Source organism: Homo sapiens, chromosome 22 (genome assembly GCF_000001405.40).
Source record: "Homo sapiens chromosome 22, GRCh38.p14 Primary Assembly".
NCBI classification, from domain to species: Eukaryota; Metazoa; Chordata; class Mammalia; order Primates; family Hominidae; genus Homo; species Homo sapiens.
Window position 1 is genome coordinate 45,405,306 of NC_000022.11, and position 8,351 is coordinate 45,413,656.

General features: G+C 43.2%; 1 protein-coding gene across 5 annotated transcripts in view; it reads right to left on the reverse strand.

Annotated features, from left to right (window-relative positions):
• SMC1B (structural maintenance of chromosomes 1B) overlaps window positions 1-8,294 on the reverse strand; it is a 69,537-nt gene extending 61,243 nt beyond the window's left edge. For 4 of the 5 annotated variants that reach the window (NM_001291501.2, NM_148674.5, XM_011530145.3 and 1 more), the window contains exons 1-4: window positions 8,154-8,294; window positions 3,405-3,593; window positions 1,448-1,560; window positions 1,155-1,358 (exon numbers count right to left, since the gene is read on the reverse strand). In NM_001291501.2, coding sequence (NP_001278430.1) covers window positions 1,155-1,358; window positions 1,448-1,560; window positions 3,405-3,593; window positions 8,154-8,262 — 615 coding nt within the window. In that variant the 5' untranslated portion in view covers window positions 8,263-8,294. Of the gene's footprint in view, window positions 1-1,154; window positions 1,359-1,447; window positions 1,561-3,404; window positions 3,594-4,134; window positions 4,161-8,153 lie in introns of those variants that run through there. The other variant, XM_011530144.3, reaches the window with a different exon arrangement.

Genomic DNA, 8,351 nt, shown 5'->3' on the forward strand with positions numbered 1-8,351 from the left:
ATCCCAGCACTTTGGGAGGCCGAGGCAGGCAGATCACGAGGTCAGGAGAATGAGACCACGGTGAAACCCCGTCTCTACTAAAAATACAAAAAAAAAATTAGCCAGGAACGGTGGCGGGCACCTGTAGTCCCAGCTACTCGGGAGGCTGAGGCAGGAGAATGGCGTGAACCCAGGAGGCGGAGCTTGCAGTGAGCCAAGATCATGCCACTGCACTCCAGCCTGGGGAAAAAAAAAAAGAGACAAGACTCTCAGTGCAGTGAGAAGCACTGCACTGGAAGGTTTTATGCATGGAAAGTTAGGATCTGATTTGAGTTTCAAAAATATCACTTTAACTACAACTGAAGATAAGGTACTATATTAGGCATTTTGAAGGGGCCCAAGAAATGTATAGAAGTACATTTGCATGTAATGTGGTCATGGCCTCCTAGGAGGTTCCCAAGACCCTTTTAGGGAGTCCCTGAAAACAAAATTATTTTCATAATAATACTAAGACTTTGTCTATTTCAATGTGTCGACACATGCACTAACAGTGTGGACAAAATTGCTAGGCCTTAGCATAAGTAAGATTTAACACAGAAATGTTTATGAGAATTCAGCTGTCTTTTATCAAGCTAGACATTAAGGAAATTATAAAAGTGGTAAAACAATGTCTCTCTTCTAATTGGTTGTGGAAAATACAGTTATCTTTCATAAAAATGCTATTTATATTAACATGTAATGAGTTTATTGCTATTTTTACAGGGATCATTAAAATATTTTTTAAATTTCCAGTGTTAATTTCACATACAATAAATATTAATAGATATAACCCATATGAACAAAAACTCTTTGGGGTCCTCAATAATTTTTAAGAGCATAAGGGGTTTAATATCCAAACATCTGAGAGCCTTTGCCACATAAGACATAAACCCCTCAAGCTTGTTTTTAGTTGGGAAAATCAGACATTTTTCTAGTTCAGGCTGTCCTGCCTATTCGGAAAGAAAAACCCAAATAGTGGGAAATACATCAAAAAGTTTATCTTAATGAATATTGGGCTTTAATTGTCTTATACTATTAAATTAATCTTCTTGGTAAGCCCAAGCCCATACCTAGTGATTCTAACATAGAAAGTTTTATATCCAACAACTAATGGTTACATCTTCATGACATCTTACCTCTTCCTTCTCTAATTTTGCTTGTCTGCGCTCTGCCGCTATATTTTTTTTCTTATTAAAGTTAAACTGTGCATCCTCTTCGGCTTTTTGTAACTTTCTTTTCTTTTCTTCATATTCTCCTATAAGCTCTCCTGAAGTGCTGATTTCCTCAAAAAACTGGGTCCTTTCTTTGGGTTTCTTCACTGAAATTGACTCTACAGTTCCCTTTTAAAAACAGTAATGCACATCAACATATAAAATATAGTGATGTATTTTCAAAACTCTGAATCAAATAAACTACTATAGCTACTTACCTGAAAAACCAAACAATTTTGTGCTTTGACTATTATGCCTATCTTTTCCAACTCTGCAATGTAAACAGAACGACTCACAAGATTATCATTAAAGCGAAATTCTGAGCATCCCCCTAAAATAAAAAAATAAACCCTGTTAAAAAATATATAAATACCAGATATACCTCAAAATCCACCGAAAGTTTAATAAAATTATTTTTCTTATTGAAATGGCCAGTTATATAATAATATACATGGGAATAAATGCATTTAATGAGTCAACAAATATTGAGTGTCTATTACATGTCAAGGTCTCTTTTACAGTGGCGAACAAAACACATGAAAGTCTCTTATCTGAAGAGCATATATCCTAGTCAGGATGTAAAAGGAAAATAAATCTCAGAACCCCTAACTCACTAAGCCAAAGGGAAAAGTCAACCTGGGAACTAGGTCATGCAAACTTGCCTCCTATTTTGTTACTAAATAAGGTAGCTGTAAAGATTGAAAAACAACAACAGCAACAAAAACTGCATGCCTCCCTCACAATTTACCCACAGGGAAATTCCTTGTGGGCCCCAAGATCTTTACCCTAAAACAGTTCTGTTGAATTTTAACCTGACAATATAAATTGATAGCTTATCTTCACATGTACAGGACAAAGGACAGAACTCAGTCATCCCTCTGCTCACCTGAGATAAATGTATATCTGATTGTCTCCTCTGCACTATCTTTATCTTTTTTTTTTTCTGAGACAGGGTCTTGCTCTGTTGACCAGGTTGGAGTGCAGTGGCGCAATCTTGGCTCACTGTATCCTAGACCTCCCGGACTCAAGTCATCTTCCCACCTCAGCCTCCTAAGTACTGGGACTATAGACTCACGCTACCACACACAGCTAATTGTAGAGACAAGGTCTCACCACGTTTCCCAGGCTGGTCTCAAACTCCCGAGTTCAAGCAATCGTCCTGCTGTGGCCTCCCAAAGTGCTGGGATTACAGGCATGAGCCCCATGCCCAGCCTATATTATCTTATATAAAAATGCAGATTCACTGAGCTAGCCTAATGCAGAAGTGACTATGCCTCTACCCCTGTCACATGTGAACAATTGATCAAAGGCTCAAAAGAATGCAACCACTGGTCTCTTTTCTATCCACACCTTTAAAAAAAATTTCTTCCTCTTTCCCAAATCCCCGCTCTTTTCCCGTAAATGTATATATACACACACACACAAATTCAAACATTTCACTCAAGTTGCTTTTTGGTGGTAGAAAAAACTGTCTATAATAAAGCCAAAAATATGCATACAATTTGTTCATCACTAAGAAAAACTGATAAACATAAAGAACCTCAAGAATAAATTTTATGATTTCTCTGTCTTCAAGGTACTCCTTCCTTCATCTTATTATTATTTTTTTGAGACGGAGTCTTGATCTGTCGCCTAGGCTGGAGGGCAGTGGCGTGATCTCGGCTCACTGCAAGCTCTGCCTCCCGGGTTCATGCCATTCTCCTGCCTCAGCCTCCCGAGTAGCTGGGACTACAGGTGCCTGCCACCTCGCCCAGCTAATTTTTTGTATTTTTAGTAGAGACGGGGTTTCATCGTGTTAGCCAGGATGGTCTCAATCACCTGACCTCGTGATCCGCCCGCCTCGGCCTCCCAAAGTGCTGGGATTACAGGCGTGAGCCACCATACCCGACCCTCCCTCCTTCATCTTAACTAAATATCCAGATTTTAAAATGTTATTTGACAGTAGGGGGATTTGAACAATTATGTCAGTTAAGGAAAAGCAGACATAATTGGAGAAATATGTGGCGAATCAAACAGGTTCTGTTACTTGCTTCTGAGATATGCTATGCAAGAGAAAAAAGAACTCTAGTTCATTACACCAGTAGAATAATAAACCATACCCTCCAAAGAAAGAAAAAATGGGCAATCTTACTTGACTCTTGAAAAATAAAATGAAAAAAAATTATAAAAAAATACCTCGGATAATCCTTGCAAATGTTTTCTCTTCGCCACTTTCCTCCACATATATAATTTTTACACTTGCAGAAGAAGAAATAGGTTTTCCAATATGTGCTCCATGAATGAGTTCTTGAATATTTTTCACTCTTAAATTAGCTATTTTCTCTCCCATTACAAAACTAAGTGCATCCATTACATTAGATTTTCCTGGGGAAGAAAAGAGATAAAACATTATTCATTCTTAATGATAAAAAGCCCTACCCAGAGCTGAAGAAATCAGGCCACCAATCGAAGTGAAATATAGCCAAAAGACATGTCCTTTTTAATCAATGTTCAAAATGCATGACTGAAATATTTGATGTAGATAACTCATTTCTTCTATGCATCTATTGTAGACTATTAAGAGGTCTAAATTTAAGGACTGAAATACACCTATCTAAATCCCAGCTCTCTTCCATTGTTAGGTATCACACCATGGCAAATCATTTAACTTCACTGAGTTTCAATTATCCTCATTTTATAAATATGGAAACTACCTAAAGCATTGGTGCAGCACCAAATCCTCTTATACTCTAAAAAAGAGAGGCTAAGGCTGGACGCGGTGGCTCATGCCTATAATCCTAGCACTTTGGCAGGCCAAGGTGAGCAGATCACCTGAGGTCAAGAATTCGAGACTAGCCTGGCCAACACGGTGAAGCCCCCTCTCTACCAAAAAATATAAAAAATAGCCGAGCTTGGTGGCACGCACCTGTAGTCCCAGCTACTCAGGAAGCTGAGGCAAGAGAATTGCTTGAACCTAGGAGGCGGTGGTTGCAGTGAGCCGAGATTGCACCACTGCACTCCAGCCTGGGCAACGAGGAGAGACTCCAACTCTAAATAAATAAATAAATAAATAAATAAATAAATAAATAAATAAATAAAAACAAGAGAAGCTAACTAAATCCAGGATCGAGGGCTAGATTAAAATTGTTTGATTGGTATGAGATGGTGCTACAGAAAATTTATATAGCAGGCTTGATACTGTTATCTTTTGAAAGTCCTACTTACAAGGTTGGCTGGCTTACAGGGATTTGGATTTGGATGTTGGGAGGGTTTCTAACATTCCCTATTAAGAATGGCTCACAGTGCCTAAACTATCTGTACAAACAATATGATTTAATCTGAACATATGCTTTCTTTCTAGGATTCTGGAATATTATTTTATAATTTCTTTTGAGGAAGGTCTGGCCTAAGAAGATTCTGGAACTTGGGTACATGATAGGCAAACGGTGCCTATGTGACAATCTCCCGATAAAAACGCTGCACATTGAGTCTTTAGTGAGGTTCCCTGGTGGGCAACATTTCACATGTGTGGACTAGCTGCTGGAGGAATGAAGCACTGAGTGACACCAATGGGTAAGGACTTGGAATCTTGCAACTGGTTTCCTAAGACTTTGCCTCATATATCCTTTCCCTTTGCTGAGTTCGCTTTGTATTTTTTCACTGTAATAAATAATAGTATTGAGTCAAACTATATGTAGAATCCTGTGAGTTTTCCCAACAAATTACTGAACCTAAGGGTAGTTGTGGGCATTCCTAACCCCAATGTTAAATCTGTTACCCAATCATTGGCCCATAATTTTCTCTAAGACAATTTCCAAGGTGCAATGTCAATGCAGCTGTCACCATCACTATTATTTCTCCTTTTCACATCCCTTCCCCTATATCCACAAAGCAGTTTAAATTTTCAGGCTGGGCGCAGCAGCTCACACCTGTAATCCCAGCACTTTGGGAGGCCGAGGCAGGAAGATCACCCGAGGTCAGGGGTTCGAGACCAGCCTGACCAACATGGTGAAACCCCGTCTCTACTAAAATACAAAAAATTAGCCAGCTGTGGTGGCGTGCGCCTGTAATCCCAGCTACTCGGGAGGCTGAGGCAGAAGAATCACTTGGATCCAGAAGGCAGAGGTTGCAGTGAGCTGATATTACACCACTGTACTCCAGCCTGGGCAAGAGAGCAAGACTCCATCTCAAGACAAAAGAAATAATTAATTAATTTTCAATGCCAAAACTAGGAAAGTAACATAAACAAAGCAAAGGAATACTATCAGCCACCGGAAATATGGCTTAGTTTTAGAGGTTTAGGGTCTTTCTAAAAAGAACTAGAAATAAATTGCTGCAAATTTATTTAGCTGAGTCTCAGTCAACTAACAGGTATGAAACGGCTTTTTTGGGTTAATGGATAATCTGCACATTGAGGGCTATTGTAAGACAGTGCATATGGACAAGATAAACATTCACTGAATTAAATTATTAAGTAATTTAAGTATTAAGTAACAAAACTAAACATAAACTTTTAAAATCAATAAGTCAATCCTTATTTAAATCTGCCTAAAATAAATACTTCTCATCCAAATCCATTTATTCCATTAAATTTCATTAATATTGTCCCTGCCTAATAAAGGTTATAGTCTGTCAAGAGAGTCAAGGCAGCATAACATACCACAAAGTGGCAACAACCCAAACTATCAACTGATGGATAAACAAAATGTAGTATATCTATACAGTGAAATATTATTTGAAAATAAGAAGGAAATAAGTACTAATACAAGGAGCAACATAGATGAATCTGAAAAACATTATGCTAAGTGAAAGAAGTCAGACACAAAAGGCCATATATTGTCTGATTCTATTTATACGAAATGTCCCAAATAGGTAAATCCATAGAGACAGAAAGTGAATTAGTAGATACCAGGAGCTAGGTGGAGAGGAAATAACAGGGAGTGATTGCTAATGAGTACAAGGTTTCTTTGGGGGCAATGAAAATGTTTTGGAAGTAGATGGTGATGATGGTTGCACAACTTTTGAATATACTAAAAACCACTGAACGGTGCATTTTATTTATTTATTTATTTTTACTTATTTATTTTTGAGATGCAGTCTTGTTCTGTTGTTGCCCAGGCTGGAGTGCAGTGGCGTGATGTCAGCTCACTGCAGCCTCTGCCTCCCAGGTTCAAGCGATTCTCCTGCCTCAGTCCCCTGAGTAGCTGGGACTACAGGCGTGCGCCACCACGCCAGGCTTTTTTGTATTTTTAGTACAGATGGGGTTTCATCATGTTGGCCAGGCTGGTCTTGAACCCCTACCTCCAGTGATCTGCCTGCCTCAGCCTCCCAAAGTGATGGAATTACAGGTGTGGGCCACCATGTCAGGCCTTATTTTTTTGTTGAGACAGAGTCTTGCTCTGTCGCCCAGGCTGGAATGCAGTGGCACAGTCTTGGCTCACTGCAACCTCCGCCTCCCGGGTTCAAGTGATTCTCCTGCCTCAGTCTCCCAAGTAGCTGGTATTACAGGCACGTGACACCACCCCCAGCTAATTTTTGTATTTTTAGTACAGACAGGGGTTTCACTATGTTGGCCAGGCTGGTTTCTAACTCCTGACCTAAGGTGATCCGCCCGCCTCGGCCTCCCAAAGTGCTGGGATTATAGGCATGAGCCACGGCGCCCGGCCAATTTTATTTTATATTTATCTTATTTTATTTTATTTTAGAGTCGAAGTCTCGCTCTTGTTACCCAGGCTGGAGTGCGGTGGTGCTATCTTGGCTCACTGCAACCTCTGCCTCCCGGGTTCAAGCGATTCTCCTGCCTCAGCCTCCTCAGTAGCCGGGATTACAGGTGCATGTCACCACACCCGATTAATTTTTGTATTTTTAGTAGAGACAGGGCTTCACCATGTTGGTCAGGCTGGTCTCGAACTCCTGATCTCATGATCCACCCGCCTCGGCCTCCTAAAGTGCTGGAATTACAGGTGTGAGCCACCGCGCCCAGCCTTTTTTTTTTTTTTTTTTTTTTTTTTGAGACGAGAGTCGCACTGTGTTGCCAGGCTGGAGTGCAATGGCGTGTCCTTGGCTCACTGCAACTTCCACCTCCCAGGTTCAAGCGATTCTCCCGCCTCAGCCTCCAGAGTAGTTGGGATTACAGGCGTGTGCCACCACACCCAGCTAATTTTGGTATTATTAGTAGAGACCTCCGCAGGTCCTCTGGCCTCTCCAGACCTCAGTTTCCCCAACTATAAAATGGGGAGAGCAGCCATGCGCCATGGCTAACCAAAGACGGTGTCGCCAGGAACTTAGGAAAAGCTCAGTAAACTGGGTCATCATCACTACATTCCTGGGTCAAAGCTCCCTTGGATCCAAATGGTGGTTCTGGCTGCTTGGAACCCATTACCTCCTCGACAGCTCCCTCTCACTTCAACTTCGGATGAGAAGGGAAAAGGGACGCGAGTGACCAGGGCCAAGGGCAAGAGCAGTCCCCGAAGCAGGAGTGAGGGCAGAGAACAGGGCCCAGGGCGGGACCGGGGCGGAGAGGAAGCGTCAGGACCCCCAGGGTGGGGGGCGAGGGTTGGGAGCCCCTGAGATGAAGGGCGAGGGCCGGAGCTGAGGTGGGGTGGGGTCCCTCAGGGTGTCGGAGGAGGGTCGGGAGCCAGGAGGTGGAGGGCGAGAGCGGGGCCCGAGGCGGGGCCGAGTGGAAGGGTCAGGACCTCCGAGGTGGGGCGGAGGGACAAGGGTCGGGACCCCTGAGGTGGACGGCGAGGACCGGGGCTGAGGTGGGGTGATGGGCAGGGGCTGGGCCAGGGCCAGGCCGGGATCCGGTCGCGGTCAGGCTCCGGGACTGGAAGGGGAAGGCCGGCCAGGCGCCCGCGGCAGACGCCCACACCCCACAGGCCACGTGTGGCCTGGACGCCTGGGACGGCGGAGGCGCTCCGGTGGCGCCCTGAGCTGCTCAGTTACCAGAGCCGTTGGGGCCGATGATGCAGGTGAACCTCCGGAAGGGGCCAATGACCTGGCGGCCCCGCCACGACTTGAAATTTTCCACAAGCAGCAGCTCCAGGTGGGCCATGGCGCCGCCCTCCACGCCTCACCCGCGTTATCAAGCGCCCGCGGAAAAAGCGCGGGAAGGGATTCGCCAAGTGTCGCGAGAAGAGAGCG